This window comes from Homo sapiens, chromosome 7, assembly GCF_000001405.40.
Source record: "Homo sapiens chromosome 7, GRCh38.p14 Primary Assembly".
Lineage (NCBI taxonomy): Eukaryota > Metazoa > Chordata > Mammalia > Primates > Hominidae > Homo > Homo sapiens.
Window position 1 is genome coordinate 157,221,230 of NC_000007.14, and position 20,085 is coordinate 157,241,314.

Sequence of the window (20,085 nt, forward strand, 5' to 3'; positions counted from 1 at the left end):
TACAGGTTTTTCTGTGAACATACATTTTGTTTGACATGGAGTAAGTTTCACTGGGAGTAAGAATCCTGAGACATTTGGCAAGTTTATGTTTAACTTGATGAGAAGCTGCAGAACTGTGTTCCAGGGTGGCTGCACGGCTTTGCATTCAGACCAGCAATGAATGAGAGCCTCTGTTGTTCCCAGTCCTCATCAGCACTTACAGTTGTCATTTAAAAAAAAAAAATTCTATGGGCCAGGCGTGGTGGCTCTCGCCTGTAATCCCCAGCACTTTAGGAGGCCGAGGTGGGCGGATCATCAGGTCAGGAGTTCAAGACCAGCCTGACCAACATAGTGAAACCCCGTCTCTACTAAAAATACAAAAAACTAGCTGAGCGTAGTGGCGGGCACCTGTAATCTCAGCTACTTGGGAGGCTGAGGCAGGAGAATCGCTTGAACCCAGGAGGTGGAGGTTGCAGTGAACCAAGATCACACCACTGCACTCCAGCCTGGGTGACAGTATAAGACTGTCTAAAAAAAAAAAATTTGGCCATTGTAAAAGGTGGGAAATGGTATCTTCTTGTGGTTTTAATTTGTGTCTACCAGCCGACTAATGATATTCAGCATCTTTTTCATGAATTTGTTTTTTTGTTGTGTTTTCTTGGTTGTTTTTTGTTTTTTTGGAGACAGGGTCTCACTGTGTGCTCAGGCTGGAGTGCAGAGGCGCAATCACGGCTCACTGCAGCCTTGACTTCCTGGGCTTCAGCGATCTTCCTGCCGTAGCTTCCAAAGTAGTTGTGACCACAGGCGTGTGCCACCACACCTGGCCAATTTTTTAATTTTTTTGTAGAGATGGAATCTCCATGTGTTGCCCAGGCTGGCCTTTAACTCCTGGGCTCAAGGGATCTTCCCACCTTGGCCTCCCAAAGTACTACGATTACAGGTGTGAGCCACTGCACACTGCCTGTGAACATGTTTTTTAGTTATTGAATTTTGAGAGTTATAAAGCTATTCTGGATATAGTTTATCAGATATGTGATTTGCAAATATTTTGTCCCAATCTGTGGCTTGTCTTTTTCTTTTCTTAGCAGTGTCTTTCAAGGAGGAGAAGTTTTAAATTTTGATAGAATCCCATTTACCATTTTTTTCTTTAATGAAATTGTGCTTTTGATATGATGTCTAAGATACCTTCACCTAACACTTTACTTTTTTTTTTTCTTTCTTTCTTTTTTGAGGCAGGGTCTCAGTGTGTCACCAGGCTGGAGTGCAATGGTGCAATCACAGCTCACTGCAGCCTTGAACTCTGCAGTCTCAGGCAGTTCTCCCACCTCAGCCTCCTGAGTAGCTGGGACTATAGGCGCGTGCCACCATGCCCAGCTAATTTTTAAAAAAATTTTCTTCGTAGAGGCAAGGTCTCTCTGTGATGCTCAGTTTCTCAAACTCCTGAGCTCAAGGGATGCTCTCGCCTCAGCCTGGGATTACAGGCATAAGCTGCCATCCCCAGCTCCTTGAAATGAGTTTTAAGAGGCCAAGTTACGATTTATTGTTGGAAAGGAATGGGATATGTGTTTATTCATGAAATACTGCCTGGGGCCTACTGTGTATACAGCCTTCTCCCAGGCACCATCTCATGCACACACGCCTGGTCTGGGAGGAACTTTGTTGCCATAGTAGGAGGGAAAGGGCACGAAGGTGGTCGGGGGTGGCCAGGGCACCGCCCACTGCTGGATCTGGCTGCATTCGGGCCTCACCGCCAGTGCTAGGGCTAGCTGTGCACTTGAGACGTGCTAGACAGCTGGAGTGGAAGTGTAGTCCTTGATTAGGACATCTTTAATATTCGATCAAGTTATGTGTTCGGGGAGCTACTGTGCTGATCCTGCACTGTGCATGGCTCATGGGTCTGCCTGAGGCGGGGATGTGTTCATGGAACTGGATTTAGATAAATGAGTTAATCAGGATGATTTCAAGAATCTTCACCTTAAGAATTGTCAGTGGGAATGCAGGGGAAAGTACAAGTGAACTAATTAAGGTTTTAAAATGTGTTTTAGTGGGTTTGGAGTCCCCGCCGCTGTCTGTGTCTGAGGAAAGACAGCTTGCTGTCCTGACAGAGTTGCCTTTTGTGGTTCCATTTGAGGAACGAGTAAAGGTATGCAATTTGGCTTCTTTATTGTCACTACGTATCATATTAGTGTTAAGAAATTAACACACACCCACCAGAGAAATCTCTAAAGGTGCCTAGTGCCTGGCTGATTACATAACATACTTTTCTCATTAGGCTGAAATAGCTAAGAATGATTTATAAAACCCAACCAGATACCTCTTTTTACAAACTGAAAGTATTTTCTTAGTTACAACTGATTGAAAGCCAGTAAACACTATAGATTTCTTATAATGAGGGTCTAACGTCATTTTTCTCTATTAAATTTTGCATTATTTGGCCAGGTACAGTGGCTCATGCCTGTAATCCCAGCACTTTGGGAGGCCGAGGCAGGTGGATCGAGCCCATGAGTTTAAGACCAGCCTGGGAAACATAGTGAAACCCTGTCTCTACAAAGAATACAAAAGTTAGTTGGGCGTGGTGGCATGTACCTGTAGTCCCAGCTACTTGGGATGCTGAGGTAGGAGGATCATTTGAGCCTAGGAGGCAGAGGTTGCAGTGAGCCAAGATCGTGCCAGTACACTCCAGCCTGGGCAACAAAGCCAGAACCTATCTCAAAGGGGGGAAGAAACTTTGCATTGTTTTTGAAAAAGCAAATTTTTTGTGAAGATATGCTTCTGTACATTCACGTTTATTTATCAGAAACGATGTTTTTTTTTTTCTGAGACAGGATCTCACTCTGTCACCTGGGCTAGAAAGCAGTGCTGTGATCATAGCTCACAGCAGCCTCAAACTCCTGGGCGCAAGCCACCATCTCACCTTGACCTGCTAAAGTGCTGGGATTACAGGCATCAGCCACTACACCTGGCCTGGAAACACTACTTTATTTTTTTTGTTTTTTATTTTTTTTGAGATGGAGTGTCCTCTGTCGCCCAGGCTGGAGTGCAGAGGCGCGATCTTGGCTCACTGCAACCTCCGCCTCCCGGATTCAAGCGATTCTCCTGCTTCAGCCTCCCAAGTAGCTAGGACTACAGGCACGTGCCACCATGCCTGGCTAATTTTTTGTATTTTCAGTAGAGACGGGGTTTCGCCGTGTTAGCCAGGATGGTCTCGATCTCCTGACCTCGTGATCTGCCTGCCCCAGCCTCCCAAAGTGCTGAAATTACAGGCATGAGCCACCGCGCCCAGCCACTTTACTTTTTATAAAAAAAGAAATGGACAAATATCTTAATTCCTTGTCTGGTGTCTTTGATGTACAAAACTTTGTTTATATATGTTTCCAAATTTTAAAATGTTTTGTTTTTATTTGTCAACTATTTTTACCAAATTTCTAAAGATTACTTGGTTCCGTTCTTCAGTAATGGCTTCAAGAGTGTATTTTTTAGGCCTATACACTCTATTTGCATGGTGAACAAAAGAGTTTCTTTTGAAGCTGTTCATGTCCCTTTACTAAACCCTCCCTGCACGTGCGTACACACACACACACACACTCTCTCTCTCTCTCTCTCTCCCACTCACTCACTCACTCACTCACATAATTCCTGAGCTCCCTCTACTGGATTTTTAACATCAAAAAATTATTTGAATTTTGTCAGAGATATTTCTACTAGTGTTAGTATACAGCTTTTTACAAAGCTGTTCTTTCCTCACTACCTAAGTTTTTATAAAGGATTTATAAATGAAAATATTCTATCGCAAGGGGTTTAAATTTTAATTTTATTTTATTTTTGAGACAGAGATTCACTCTGTCACCCAGGCCTGAGTGCAGTGGCGCCTGCAACCTCTGCCTCCCGGGTTCACAAGATTCTCGTGCCTCAGCCTCCCAAGTAGCTGGGATTACAGGCATGAGCCAATGTGCCTGGCCGGATTTTTAAAATTTATTTTAAACTGGGCAAAGGAGCAGCTTTAGAAATATTTAAATATGATATACATTATATATTATCTATACATTTATTGATAAAAATCAAGATTTGATACCTTGACTATTAGCATTTATTTCAGAATTTATGAAGATACAAAAGATAAGATTTAGCAGTTTATTCTTTGGTAGGTTGTAAGAGGTCTTTTGTTTCTAATAACCTTACAGCTTTCCTTGTTTGTTAGATCTTTCAGAGGTTGATTTATGCAGATAAGCAAGAAGTTCAAGGAGATGGTCCATTTCTGGATGGAATTAATGTCACAATAAGAAGAAATTACATTTATGAAGATGCTTATGACAAACTTTCTCCAGAAAATGGTATATATAATTCTTTCTGTGTATTATTTGGCAGGTGGAGGCTAGGGAATTGTTTTAGAAAATGGTGGTTCTTTAAAAATTAGTGTCCATCATCTTGTTCCATAATGACTTAAAAACTGAAATGTGAGGCTGGGCATGGCAGCTCACACCTATAATCCCAGCACTTTGGGAGGCTGAGGTGAGAGGATTGCTTGTGCTCAGGAGTTAGAGGCCAGCCTGGGCAACATACTGAGACCCTGCCTCAACAACAAAAAAAGTGAGCTTATCTGGATGTGTTAGCGTGCCCCTGTTGTCCCTGCTCTGCAAAAGGCTGAGGCGGGAGGATGGCTTGAGCCTGGGAAGTGAAGGCTGCAGTCGAACTCTGATTGTGCTACTGCTCAGGCCTTGGCAGTAGAGCCAGACCCAGTCTCCAAAAAAAAGTGTAGCAAGTCAGATTTGGGAGACATGTTATCAAGTAATATTTCTAAAATTGACAGTTACTACAACAGAAGCCTTTAAAAAATATTAATTATTTTTAAAGGGCAAGAAAGTAACCAGTTCCCCACCTCCTGTTGTCTGCCCCTAAAATTTAGTTTGCAAGCTGTTGTTCTAAAAATCTCGATGGTAGCCATTTATATTCTGCGTTTTTGTATAAATATTTATATGAAATCACAAATTGTAAGCCAAATTAAACATATTAAAATAAGTGCCATTGCAATCCAAGTTTCTTATGAAAAGATAAGTGTGCTCCAATGACACTGCCGTTAGTAAAGGAGAATTATACTGTGATAGCATTTGGAGCTCACTGGCACGTTTCGTCGTATGTTCATATTTGATACTCAGTCTTGAAAGTTCGTGTGCTATTAACCTCTAATATATTAGCAGTTTTAACTTCCAAATATTGTGCTTATGGTAATACATTAATTCCATGTTGGTCAATGCCGAGGGGATTAAAATGAAAGTTTAGGCTGGATCTAAAATTAAAAATGAAATCATCTTACCCAGCTTTTGGAAGGTGATGAGTTGTCCAATGTGAAATGACAATTGCCTTTTCCTCTAGGGGAGCAACTTAATTTTCTTCTAAGGAAATGAAACCTGATTTCTAATAATTTTTATTGCTTACATAAAGAACTAATTTTATCATAATGTTGGAACAGTGGAGGAAAGCTGACATCAGTTGTTTCCTTACTCTATTTCAAGCTTTTTTTTTTTTTTTACACAATTTACCGTTGCCATTGAATCCTTGCCATGGCCCTCTGATGCCGAGTGTCATCAGCTGAGACCGAGTAAACTTAGGTCTGCATGCAGGCTGTGGCCTCTCCACAGGGCCAGGTTTGTCTTGCCTAGCAGATTGTGTTTTCAGAGTATTTGGTGTGAATGAGATGAGACTAGGTACTTTGACTCCTAATCTAACTAATCGTCTAATTGAGAGATGTTTTGGGGTCCCACAGTACCTTATAAATCAATTCTAATAGTTCTTACATTGTATTTTTATTAGCAGATTTCACGTTCATCTCTCCCACTTGACCCTGGAGGTCTTTACAGCTTGGGATGGAATTGTTTATTTGGTGTACACAGCTGATGCTCAGTAGATGCTTATTCAATTTGTGATTGAATCCCAGGGGAAAAAAATAGATGTGACAAAACAATGAGTTTGCCAATGATCGTGTAGTGTTTAGAGAAGAGTGAGATGTTTAACCTTGAAGGGCCTTCCAAGAGGCAGTTCTGGAGCAGCACCTGTAGGGGAGGAGCTGAGTTTGTGGGTGAGGGGAGCTCCGAGGGCACGGGTGCTGTGGTCAGGGGTACTTGCAAGTGGGGGGGCTGTAAGCTCTTCAGCCAGAGTAGAATGCGTTTCTTACTTACCAGCAATTTAAAATTAACTTTAAAACTACTCCCTGGGCGTGGCGCAGTGGCTCACGCCTGTAATCCCAGCACTTTGGGAGGCTGAGGCAGGCAGATCACAAGGTCAGGAGATCGAGACCAGCCTGGCCAGCATGGTGCAACCCTGTCTCTACTAAAAATACAAAAAAAAATAGCTGGGCGTGGTGGTAGGCACCTGTAGTCCCACCTACTCAGGAGGCTGAGGCAGGAGAATGGCATGAACCCGGGAGGCGGAGGTTGCAGTGAGCCGAGATCGCACCACTGCACTCCAGCCTGGCAACAGAGTGAGACTTCATCTCAGAAAAAAAAAAGAAAAAACTACTCCCTGTAGATGATTTTTTGATGTTACTGTCCAATTATAACAAGCCTCAAATTTCCTAATGAATCCTTAAGCTTTAAAAATTGTTAAAAAACTGATCACACCCACCTCCCTAGGGGCATGCTAATAATTGCATTGAAGTTAAAAGATTTGGAAGAATCTTCTCATATTGTTTATACTGTAATGCTTGAAATCTTTATAAATGTTCTCAACTCAAATACTGTAAGCATGATTAAGCCATGTGTTAAAATGTGGTGTTTTGCTACGCAAATTAGTAAAGTCAGATATCATCTCAGAATAATTAATTTACTTGTGAGAGAATGGTTTGAGGTGCATTTTTGACTAAAAATTTACATATAATCAACTAATGTGATTATTCCACGTGTCATCTAGTCATTGAAGTGAATCCATGCTTTACGATGCTCGTTGTCTTATCTCCGAACGATTCTCTGCAGTGTGCATGTTAGCCCCTGTTACCCATAAGTTGACTGAGTGGAATGCAGAGATTGATGGCTGTTCCTGCAGTTGGTGCTCAGAGAGCAAAGATGGGCTGGGGTTCCACAGGGATGCCCACGCACTCCCAGCCTGCACTGCACTACCTTGTTGCAGTGTGGAATATTGGGAGAAACCGTCACATTCCCTCATGGGATTGCTGTAAGAATTGTAAAGTGGGTAACAAAGTTCCCTCGGGGCCTGGAGCTCACTCTGTCATTGACTCTTGGGTGAGAGTGAGGCACAGCTGGCTCTGCACTCTGCTGTCATCAGTTCTGGAGAGCCTCACTTGTCTGCTTTTGTTGGTTGGTTACTTTTATTTTATTTCATTTAATGGGCAGAATTACCATTTCTTCCTGAAGCAGAGGAAATTTATTCCAGAAGCAGGAAAGCAAGCTGGAGCCAAATGGCTTAGATGTGTTTACCTGATTCCCAAGGGTGACACGGACACTGACCCAGAGGTGGCGGGCACGGCAGGGCAGCACTGCATCCCTGCTGCTGTGCAGAGTGGCCCCATCTTGTCCATTCAGTCAGCGACCACTGCTCAGTGAATGGGAACTTGGTATTTCTGTGTGGTGGCTGTAAGCCTCAGTCAGTCCAGTAAATTGTATTTGCCCTATTTGACACATATCATAGACTATTTACACTCCAGGTACGGTAACTTCAAAATTACTGACACGTGTACATAGCAATCTAGGGATAGACAGGGTTTTGAGGAGATTGCATGGAGGCTCTATCAAACATTCTGCTAAACCCCTTTTCCAGAATGCTTCTAGAGGTTACATGTCCCTTGAGATGCTCCAGGGCAGATATGTTTGGGTGACTATGCACCAAAGCCAACAGAGGGCAGCAGCGCATGGGGCCTGTGAAAGTGTCGAATGTACACTACGTGCGGTTGCTTTCCCCTGACTTCATGCAGCAGCCTGTCCCCAACTCTCGTCCCCTCTCCTTCCCCCTATCTTTTCTGCAAAGCACCTGTAGAACATTCTTAGGGAAAGATAAAGGACATTTCACTTACTTCCCCAAAGCTGTTCTCTGATTCAGCCTGTTTATCAGAGCACATCTTAACTTGGTCCACCTTGTGTTTTTTTTGGTTTTGGATTTTTGTTTGTTTGTTTTTTGAAATGGAACTTCTCTCTTGTTGCCCAGGCTGGAGTGCAATGGCACAATCTTGACTCACTGCAACCTCCACCTCCTGGGTTCAAGCGATTCTCCTGCCTCAGCCTCCTGAGTAGCTGGGATTACAGGCATGCACCACCACGCCCGGCTAATTTTTTTTTGTATTTAGTAGAGACGGGGTTTCACCATGTTAGTCAGGCTGGTCTCAAACTCCTGCCCTCAGGTGACCCACCTGCCTTGGCCTCCCAAAGTGCTGGGATTACAGGCATGTGCCACTGCACCCGGCCTGTTTTTGGGGTTTTTAAATTTTTATTTTAGAGATGGGGGTCTCACTTTCAGCCAGGCTGGAGTGCAGTGGTGCAATCATAGCTCACTGCAGCCTCAAACTCCTGGGCTCAAGTGATCCTCTTGAGTAGCTGGAATTACAGGCACATACCACCATGCCCAGCTTTTCTTATATTTTGTAGAGACAGGGTCTTGCTAGTGTTGCCCAGGCTGGTCTTGGACTCCTGGCCTCAGGCAGTCCTTCTGCCTTGGCTTCCCAAAGTGCTGGGATTACAGAAGTGAGCCTCTGTGCAATGTTTTAATTTATTTATTTTTTTTTTTTTTGAGACTGTCACGCAGGTTGGGATGCAGTGGCACGATCTTGGCTTACTGCAACCTCTGTCTCCCAGATTCAAGTGATTCTCCGGCCTCAGCCACCCAAGTAGCTGGGATTACAGACATGTGCCACCTTGCCTGGCTAGTTTTTATATTTTTAGTAGGGATGGGGTTTCACCATGTTGGCCAGGCTGGTCTCGAACTCCTGACCTCAAGGCGATCCGCCCACCTCAGCGTCCCAAAGTGCTGGGATTACAGACATGAGCCACTGCACCTGGCCTTAATTTACTCTTCGTAGCAAATTATATAACCAGTAATTTTCCCCCCTTTTCAGCCAAATACAGCTTTTAAAAGATCACGTAGATCAGGGTTGTCCAATCCTTTGGCTTCCCTGAACCACATTGGAAGAGGAATAATTGTCTTGGGCCACAGACAAAATACACTAACAGTAGCTGATAAGCTTTTGAAAAAAAAAAAAAATTACAGGCCGGGCACGGTGGCTCACGCCTGTAATCCCAGCACTTTGGGAAGCCAAGGCGGGCAGATCACAAGGTCAGGAGTTCGAGACCAGCCTGGCCAATATGGTGAAACCCCATCTCTACTAAAAATAGAAAAATTAGCCAGGTGTGGTGGCACACGCCTGTAGTCTTAGCTACTTGGGAGGCTGAGGCAGAAGAATCACTTGAACCCGGGAGGCGGAGGTTGCAGTGAGCTGAGATGGCACCACTGCACTCCAGCCTGGATGACAGAGGCAGACCCCGTCTCAAAAAAAAAAAAAAAAAAAACCTCCTAATGTTTTAAGAATTTAGGTATCTGTATTGGGCCGCATTCAAAGCCATCCCGAGCCACATCGGCCTGTGGGCTGCAGGTTGAGGACAAGCTTGCTGTAGATTCTGGAGGACCAATTCCCTGAGAGTTTGTGGGGGCGGAGGTTGCAGTGAGCCGAGATCGTGCCACTGCACTCCAGCCTGGGTGACGGAGCAAGACTCTGTCTCAAAAAATAATGATAATATCATTGCTGTTTTGAGTCCTATGTTAAAATGTCCCTAAGATCCTCACACCCCTTCCTTAAGCCTTCCTGTAAGGCTAGTTGATGTTATTGCTTGCTTGTAACATCTTTCCTCCTCACCCTCCCATTTTTTTTTAACAGAGCCTGATTTGAAAAAGCGGATCCGTGTGCACTTGCTCAATGCCCATGGCCTGGATGAAGCTGGCATTGATGGTGGTGGTATTTTCAGAGAGTTTTTAAATGAACTACTGAAGTCAGGATTTAACCCCAACCAGGGGTTCTTTAAGACTACTAATGAAGGGCTTCTGTACCCCAACCCGGCTGCTCAGATGCTTGTGGGAGATTCTTTTGCCAGACATTACTACTTCCTAGGCAGAATGCTTGGAAAGGTAAAGTAACCTTCATATAAAAATAGACCTCGGACCAAAAGATGTTGACATTTTATGTTTATGTGTGGTTGTTATCCAGGTTTACCATAAAATACTGTTTGTTTTAAATTTGGATGCTAAATGTTGCAAAAGCACTGCACGAAACAAATTTGTATGGTTGTAAGTAGGTGCTATGGTTTGAATGTCCCCTCCAAACTCATGTTGAAACTTGATCCCCAGTGTGCCAGTATTCAGAGGTGGAATCTTTAAGAGGTGATTAGATCATGTGAGCTCGGCCGTCATGAATGGATGAGTGGTTTATTGTGGGAAGGGCCCTGGTGACTTTTTACAGGAGGGAGCCCCTAGCTTTGTGATGCCCTGTGCCGCCTCCGGACTCTGCAGAGTCCCCACCAATGAGAAGACCTCACCAGGGGCTGCCTCTGGACCATGGGCTCCTGGCCTTCCAGCTATAAGAAATGGATTTCAGTTTTTATTAATTACTCAGTTTCAGGTCTTCTGTTATAAGCAGTCAAAACGGACTAAGACAGTAAGTTACTGCCTAGTGACTATTAGTTTAATAGGACTGCCGCAACAAATTACCACACTCTTTGGGGGGGGAGGGAGGCTTAGAAAAACTGAAATTTATTATTTGACAGTTCTGGAGGCTGGAAGTCCAAACTCAGGGTGTCAGCAGCAGCATAGATTCCTTTTTAGAGGCTCTAGAAGAATCCATTCTTCTGGTTTTGCCAGTAGCCCTTGACCTTTTTTGGCTTGTAGATTCATCATTTTGATCTCTGCCTCTGTGGACTTCTCCCTGAGTGTCTCTGTCCAACATTGCCTTATTTTTTTTAATAAGGACACCTGTCATTGTATTGGGGTCTTCCCTGATCCAGTGTAACTTCATCTTAATTTGGTTATCTGCAAATACCTCATTTCCAAAGAAGGTTATATTCACAGATTAGGATTTGAATTTGTCTTTTGGGGGGACACAGCTCTACCTGTTAGGGTGACATTTATAAAGTTGAGTATTCAGGAATTGTTATTAGTTTGTTTGTTTGTTTGTTTGAGACGGAGTCTCTCCTTGCTCTGTTGCCCAGGCTGGAGTGCTGTGGCGCCATCTCTGCTCACTGCAAACTCCACCTCTCAGGTTCAAGGGATTGTCCTGCATCAGCCTCCTGAACAACAGGTGTGCACCACCACGCCCAGCTAATTTTTCTATTTTTAGAAGAGATGGGGGTTTCCACCATGTTGTCCAGAATGGTCTTTAACTCCTGACCTCAAGTGGTCCACCTGCCTTGTCCTACCAAAGTGCTGGGATTACAAGCGTGAGCCACTGCACCTGGCCTGTTATTCGCATTCTTAAATAAATTAGAAATTAATGTTGCTATTGTGATTAATTTCTGTAAGAATCAGAGCTATAATCATTTTCAACTTTGTAATAAAATTTCTTTGTCTCATTGGTGGTTCTGTTTTCCGAGAAGCATAGTGCATGGAGTCGCCTGTTTTGAGAAGCAGCTTAATTGAAAAATCAGTGCCTGCAAAACAGGTGGTGCTTTTAGGACTTCTTTTACATAACAGTTTTATTAAAATATAACTCACATTATGGAAAATTGAACCTTTTAAAGTGTACAGTTCAGTGGTTTTTAATATATTCACTGTGTTATGTGACCATCACCAATATCAAACTTGGAAGCAATGTCATCATCCCAAAAAGGAAACGCTAGGTAGTCACTCCCTATCCTGCCCTTCCTCCCCCAGCCCTGGCCAACCACTAGTCTACTTTCAGTCTGTATGGATTTTTTTTTTTCTAGACATTTCATATAAGTGGAATCATTTGTTATATCAACTATAAATTTGTGACCTTTTGTGATTGGCTTCTTTGATTTAGCATGTTTTCAGGTTTCATTCATGTCGTAGTATGTCAGAGCTTCACTCATTTGAAGGGCCAAATCTTATTTCATTGTATGGATATACCACACTTTGGGGTTTGTTTTTTTCATTTTGAAACAGGTCTTTCTCTGCCACCTAGGCTGGAGTGCACTGCTACAAACACGGCTCAGTCCTGCGCTTAAGGAGGCCTCCTGCTTTCAGCCTCCCGAGTAGCTGGGACCACCGTTGCTTGCTACCACACCTGGCTAATTATTTCATTTTATCGTAGAGGCAGGGTCTTGCCATGTTGCCCAGGCTGGTCTTGAACTCCTGGCGTCAAGCAATCCTCCTGCCTCAACCTCTCAAAAGGCTAGAATTACAGGTGTGAGCCACCACACCCAGTCACCGCATTTTGTTTACTTACTCATCCCAGGCTGGAGTGCAGTGGTGCATTTGCATTGGGAATTTGCATTGTTTCCACCTTTTAGCTATTGTGAATAATGTTACTGCAAACATTTGTATACAAGCTGTTATTTGGACATAGGTTTTTTGTTTTTCTTGGGCATATACCTAGACATGGAAGTGTTAGGTCATACAGTACTCCACGTCAAAGTGTCTGCAACCTTTTACAATCCCACCAACAATTTGTGAAGGTTTCAGTGACTCCACATCGTTGTCAGCACTTACTTAGTGTTGTCTTTTTCATTACAGCCATTCTAGTGGGTGGGAATTGGTATCTCATTGTGGTTTTAATTTCCCTGGTGACTAATAATGTTGACCATCTTTTCATGTGCTTCATGACTTCTGTTGAGAAATGTCTATTCAAGTCCATTGCCTATTTTTTTATTGGATTGTCTTTTATTATTAAGTCCCTGCAATGCAATGAATTATGAAATTTATATTCTCTGAGGAAGCTGAAACATTGTCAGATAAATGATTTGCAAGTATTTTCTTCTCTGGATTGTCTCTTCACTTTCATGATGATTTCCTTTGAAGAACGAACATTTTTAATTTTGAAGTCTAACGTGTTTTTTTCTTTTATTGCTTGTTTTTGATGTCTTATCCATTCCCTGACCTAAAATCACAAAGATTTACACCTGTATGTTCTTCTGACGGTGTTGTAGTTTTAGCTCTTACATTTTGGTCTTTGATCCTTTTTGAGTTAATTTTTGTAGATTGTATGAGTTAGGCATCCTCATATTCTTGGCACCCTTGTTGAAAATTAGTTGACCGTACACGTAACACTCTGGGTCTGCCCTTATGCAGTATGGTCTTGATTACTGTAGCTTTGCAGTATGGGGTGTGTGGATTTATTAATAGCAGATGGGAGTAGAACCGCAGCCTTGTTAAGCAGGGATAATGGGAAGGAATCAGTCTATCCTGGATATAGAATAATTCCCCTTTATTTGTGTCTCTTTGAAATGCATTGTCGTAGCCCCAGTTATTTCTTTGTTCAGACTCCCAGTGATTTTAAGTGCTCTTCAGGTTTGAGAAAGGGCTCCAACCTGACTTCACTACCGTAACGGTATGTGTTATATCATCATCTTCAGGCTCACCGTATTTCAGGTGGCAGATTTCAGGTGTTGATTTGATGTTGATTTGTGAGTTGGCTTTGGTGGCAGTTTTCAGATAGCATCTCTCTCTTTGTTGATGGTCACACAGCCTACTTCTCAGTTTCAGCTTCCCCTGGAGGATGTACATTTCATAATTCATTGTATGAAAATCTTTACAATGGGCCAGGCATGGTGGATCACACCTGTAATCCCAGCACTTTGGGAGGCCTAGGCAGGCGGATCACCTGAGGTCGGGAGCTCGAGACCAGCCTGACCAACATGGAGAAACCCCGTCTCTACTAAAAATACAAAATTAGCTGGGCGTGGTGGTGCATGCCTTTAATCCCAGCTACTCCAGAGGCTGAGGCAGGATAATGGCTTGAACCTGGAGGCGGAGGTTGTGGTGAGCCAAGGCCTTACCATTGCACTCCAGCCTGGCAACAAGAGCAAAACTCTGTCTCAAATTAAAAAAAAGAAAAGAAAAGAAAATCTTTACAATGAAATCCCTTAGTTCTTTCTGTTAAAGTGAGCCCAAGAACCTTCTAACTTAATATATATGTGAAAATAAAGGTGAGTGTTCTGCTAGACTAACCTGAAATACTCTAAACTTGGTGGTTTTTACACAGTACAGTCACAGAAGATAGAGCAATAATTTTACCTGCATGAATTAAATCTTAAGATTATATATTACTTTTTCTTCCTGAATGTATAAATCATCCAGTCTTGATTAATGTAGAAGCTAATAGTTATGTAAGTCTGGTGAGGATAAACTCATTTCTCCTCTGTTTATTGACATATTGCTTATAATTGAAATTATTCTGAAGATGATGTCATTGTACAGTTCTGTACTTTGGAATATGTATATATTTACAGAAGATCCAGGGAAGAGAATTTGTGATTTTAAACCTTTCTCCCACAAATGAAGTTTATGTAAGTTATATCTTATTAAGGCTGTTTAAAATAATAAAGTTTAGACCAATAACAAAACTAAGAGTAATTTGAGGATGGTAGTTAACTTAGTTTCACATATTTAAGACTTCCCTTACATTACTCTCTGTGTGGAAATTCCTAAGGGGTTACTAACTTCCAAAACATATCTGATGACCATCTGATTACAGAGTTAAACTTTGTGCTAATGTGCTAACCATTGCTCGGATCTAAGTAAGTGTCATAGTACAGCAGCTGATAGTGTGGCACCTGAACATTACATCTTCAAGAGAAGAAAACTGTATATTGATTGATTGTGATATTTATTGGGTCATAATGTATTTAAATTTTCTTTAATGCATATGTTAGTGATTGTTTACTGTGATAAAGTGCAAAGAGGTCTTCAAGAGTGATCCTGCAGAGGAAGAATTACCTCATGTCACTGGTCACTTCTCAATTAAAAGTTCCATTAGCAAATGATTCTTGCTTCTGGTGTGGGTCATGATTGCATTTTGTCGCCTGTAAGTCAGGCTGCAGACAGGGAATAAATAAACAGCCCAAGGATGTGGTAATGTCATCTTGAACTTTTTTTTACAGATAGAAGCACCTAGGTCCATTTAAGCCAATTAAGTTCAGAATATTTATTGAGGTTAATCCTTTATCATATTTGAATTCTATTTGAAAATGGCTTTTTTTCTTGCTTTAGGATATTGATTTAATTGGGATGGCATGCCTATAAATCAGATTATTTGATATGATCTTGGTTATATATTTGAAAATTTCAATTAGATTGTATAACTTTGGCGTGGTTTATAATTTTTTATCGCGGTAGAATTCAGTGTGCATTTAATGTATTCTGTAGTGTAATATTGGCACTTAACAGTTTATCTTGAGATTTTCAAAAGTTGGAAAGTTTCTTTTTCTCCATCATTAGCATCCTTTTGTAAAATGCTCACTGAATTTGCTGAGGCTTTAAACATCTAAATTGAGGTGAATACTAGTCATTTTGGTTGCCTTAGTCCTTAAAGGGGCAGAGCTTCTCTTGTATAATACCTTGTTTTGAACCCTAAACTCTTTTTTTTTTCTCTTTTTTTGAGATGGAGTCTCACTCTGTTGCCCAGGCTGGAGTGCAGTGGTGCGATCTTGGCTCACTGCAACCTCCACCTCCCGGGTTCAAGCGATTCTCCTGCCTCAGCCTCCCGAGTAGCTGGGATTACAGGTATCCACCACCATGCCCGGCTAATTTTTGTATTTTTAGTAGAGACGGGGTTTCATCATGTTGGCCAAGCTGGTCTCGAAATCCTGACCTCAGGTGATCTGCCCATCTCAGCCTTCCAAAGTGCTGGCATTACAGGCGTGAGCCAGCACACCCGGCAAGACAGTTTTCTATGTAAGTTTATTTCTTCAGAATTAACCATGAAATACAAGTGGTTTAGATTCTACAGTTAAAATGGGAGATGTATTCCTGAATTCAGTTGATTGCTGCACCTAAATAAGATTTCTCGGCTGGGTGCAGTGGCTCATGCCTGTAATCCCAACACTTTGGGAGGCCGAGGTGGGCAGATCACCAGGTCAGGAGATCGAGACCATCCTGGCTAACACGGTGAAACCCCATCTCTACTAAAAATACAAAAAATTAGCCGGGCGTGGTGGCGGGCGCCTGTAGTCCCAGCTACTCAGGAGGCTGAGGCAGGAGAATGGCGTGAACCCGGGAGGCGGAGCTTGCAGTGAGCCGAGATTGCGCCACTGCACTCCAGCCTGGGCGACAGAGCGAGACTCCGTCTCAAAAAAAAAGAAAAGATTTCTCACTGTAGGTTTAGCACCACAAGGTAAATTCTTTCTGCCCTTGGATTAAGTAGGTCTTGCTTACTATTGAGTTATTCCTTCCTTTTTATTTTTCTCATCACGCCCAAGCAATAGTTAAACATCTGAAATTCATGAGAAGAATGGATCAGTATGGTATTGAGACCATTCTGTTTTTTCTGGGCCATGTTAATTTGTCACCATGAAGATTAGAAGCACACACTCTTGCTGGCCCCACTTAAAGTCTGCTGTTTATCTTTGGCTCTTATTTGTGCAATAAAGACAACAAATAATCTAAAAAATAGTGTTGGGTGCAGTAGCTCATACCTGTAGTCCCAGCACTTTGGGAGGCCGAGGTGGGAAGAACACTTAAGCCCAGGAGTTCAAGACCATCCTAGGCATACATAGGGAGACCTGGTCTCTACCACTAAAAAAAAAAAAAAAGTAGCCAGGCATGGTGGTGTGTGTCTGTAGTCCCAGCTACTTGGGAGGCTGAGGTGGGAGGATTGCTTGAGCCTGAAATGTAGAGGCTGCAGTGAGCAGTGATGGCACCACCACACTCCAGCCTGGGTGACAGAGACCCTGTCTCAAAATAATAATAAAATAGGGCCCATGTAAATCCTTTTAAACATTTAAATATTCAATTTAATTTAGATTTAGATTTAGCAAATGTAACTTTATGAAATAAAAGCCAAATGAAGGTATATGGTGTTAATTTTATTGTTTCTAAACTTAAAATCAGCTTTGAGAGGCGGCAGTAAGTAGAGTGGTGGAGGTCACGCTCTGGAGTAAGACAGGCCAGTGGGGACTCCTGGCGTCACCAGCAGAGGGCAGCAGAATCCGGCCTGTGTTGTCGTGGGCCTCCTTGGCTTTGGTGTAAGTAGCTAGCATTGGTCAAGCACTCAAGCTGGGAGACCGGATGGAGTGTCACATCGTTCAGGTGGAGTGATGCTGCTGCCCATGTCCCGGTGGTAGTGCTGGTAAGAAGTCATCATATTCAAGGAGATTTGCTGATGAATGAGATGTTGGGATGTGTGAGGACAGGAGAAGGTAAGGGAACCACCTGGGTTCTGTTATGAGAACTAGAAGGATGGAGGTCATGCTGACTAAGCTGGGAAAGGTGCGGGCAGGAGCAGGTGTGGAGAGGGAGGCATTCTTATGGAGGCTTAGTGAGGGGCAGTTGAGGATAGGGGCCTCAAGTTAGAGGCAGTATCTGGGCTGAGCCATCAGCATTCCCAGGGTCCTTAAGGTCATTAGCCTGAATTAGATCACCCAGGGTGTAGGTGTCACTGGAGAAGAGAAGAGATGAAGAACTGAGCCCCAGGGCTCTCCAAGGTTTAGAGTCCAGAGAGTAGAGAATTGACTAATAGAAGTTCAGGAGATGAAGCTGGAAAGGAAGGGAGAAAACCAGAGAAGTGGGATTTCAGGTGCCAAATAAAGACAGTGTTTGAAAGGAAGAGAAAGGTGGGTATTGTGTGATGGTACTGTTAGACCAAGTAAGGTTTAGCACTGAGAAGTGGCCATGTCATTTAGCACTCTGGACAAGTGATTTCTGTGGCGTGGTGAAGGCAAAAACCTCAGCAGATGGGCTGAAAAGAATGTCAGGATTATCTTCCTAAAGCATCATATTAAAGCTGAAAATATCCACATCATATCACAAGAGAAATGTGTACCTATTAATTAGAATACATGTGAAAGAATGTTTATGGTAACACTGTATAGCCCCTAAACTGGAAACTACAAAAATGTCCTTCGAAAGCATAATGATAATAAATAAATTGTAGGATATTCACAAGACTTACTGAATGAACAGACTACAGCTACTCAAAATGGTATGAGTGAACGGCACAGACCTAACATTGAGTTGAAGAATCCAGACACACAAAAGTACATTTTGTCAGATTTCATTTATGGAAGTTCAGAAACAAGCAAAGCTCCTTGCAGTTTTTGGAAGGCAGGATCCTGATGCTCCTGGGAGGGTAACACTGGAAGGGGGTGCAGGGGGCTTCCAAGGTGCTAGGCATTTTCTGCGCTGTGGACTAAGTGCTTTTCCATAAGTGTGTTCACTGGGTAAAAATGGATGGAACCACAGGCTTGTGATTAGGGCACTCTGCAGCAGTAGACTTCAGAGCAGTTACAAGAGGAAGGATCGGAGAAGAATTGGGGGACTGGTTATCAAGAAAACTTGAGCAGCCGCTTAAGGGATATGGGGCTAGGAAAGCTGTGTTCTAAAGATGGGAGAAATAACAGCATGTGTATTTGCTGCTGGAAATAAGTCAGTGGAATTGCTGAGGGAGAGAGGAACCACACCCTGCAAAGTGAGGGTGTGGGGTCTGGTGCTGAAGCAGGGGGCGCCACAGGCTGCGTGTCCAAGAAGAGGTAGAGGAACACTGGGTGCAGCTGCATGAGCTGGGGAGCAGGAGCTCATTCTGACTGCATCCCACTGTTGCTGCTTTCTGGGTGATGCAGCAGAGAGCAAGGATGGGAAGAGCAGTGTTCCCAGACCAGCCACATCTGCATCACCGGGGGATCTATTAAAAATGCAAATTCTTGGGCTCCACCCCAGACCTTCTGAATCTGGAACTCTAGGGCTAGGGCTCAGCAAGCTGTGTGTTTTGGTTTTTGGTTTTTTGGGGTTTTTTGAGACAGAGTCTTGCTCTTGGCATGGCTCACTGCAACCTCTGCCTCCTGGTTCAAGCAATTCTCGTGCCTCAGCCTCCCAAGTAACTGGGACTACGGACACCCACCACCACGCCCGGCTAATTTTTGTGTTTTTTGTAGAGATGGGGTTTCGCCATGTTGGCCAGGCTGGTCTCGAATTCCTGGCCTCAAGTGATCCGCCCACCTCAGCCTCCCAAAGTGCTGGGATTATGGGTGTGAGCCATAGCACCCGGCCAGCAAGCTGTGAATAGGCTTCAATTAATAAGTGTGACTCTGATGCATGCTGAAATTTGAGAATTACTGGACAATGGAAATACAATAGGATTGCCAGTTAGTGTAGGGCCCACTTGACGTTAATATCATAAAGTGAAGTGAGACCAGCCGTGTGGGTTACTTTTTCTACACCCGTAAACGGCTGTGTGGGTCTGACTAGGATGTAGAGTCAGATTTAACCAGGGGTGGGGTTTTTTGCCAAGTGACTATAATAAAGGGTGAATTGGTTGCAAGTTCAGAGTGGTTACAAGAGCCTGCCTTTGAATCTAGGCTGTTTAGAGAGGAAATTAATCCGTGAATGGAGATTTGAGGGCAAGGGAAGCTGGACAGGAGAGGAGACCTGTGGAGTCGAGGTCCTTCAGGGAGTCAGTGTAGCGGTGGTTAGAGCTAAGATCAGAGGGGCTTAGTTACCGGTAATGCCACTTGGAGGACAGAGCTGAAGGAACTGGTAGCTAAGGTGGAGTTGAGGGACAGCCAGGATGGTAGAATGACAGTCAACTGTGTGCTACAGATGTCACCAAAAATTATCACCAGAGTGTGTTGGACTCTCAGGAGCTAAAATCTTGAATTAAGGGGCAGTGACTGAACCCGGGAGAGGTAATGGATGCGCAAGCCCAGTGCATGAGATTGAAAGCCAGGGATTTTAGCGGGAGGGAAGGGAAGGATGGTCTGGAAGTGGCAGTAAGGAGCACAGGGGGCCTACCTCCCTTCTGTGCCCGGTGGTTCAAGGGTGCAAAAGAGACCACAGCTACTCACGCAGAGTGCTCTGAGGATCACAGAGCGCTGCAGGGCATGTGGGAAAATGGACTGCTGAGTGTCGCAGCATAGTCAGGAAAAAATCCCGTCTTAGCTGTGAGACCAGGAGCACAAAAAACAAAAGGAAAAATGAACTGGACTTAAAAATGTTTATGCTTCAAAAGAC

General features: G+C 43.4%; 1 protein-coding gene across 4 annotated transcripts in view; it reads left to right on the forward strand.

The window, feature by feature from the left end:
• Positions 1-20,085, forward strand: part of UBE3C (ubiquitin protein ligase E3C) — a 130,445-nt gene that overhangs the window by 82,304 nt on the left and 28,056 nt on the right. For 3 of the 4 annotated variants that reach the window (NM_014671.3, XM_005249564.5, XM_047421072.1), the window contains 3 exons: positions 2,025-2,122; positions 4,178-4,310; positions 9,851-10,098. In NM_014671.3, coding sequence (NP_055486.2) covers positions 2,025-2,122; positions 4,178-4,310; positions 9,851-10,098 — 479 coding nt within the window. Of the gene's footprint in view, positions 1-2,024; positions 2,123-4,177; positions 4,311-9,850; positions 10,099-20,085 lie in introns of those variants that run through there. The other variant, XM_047421073.1, reaches the window with a different exon arrangement.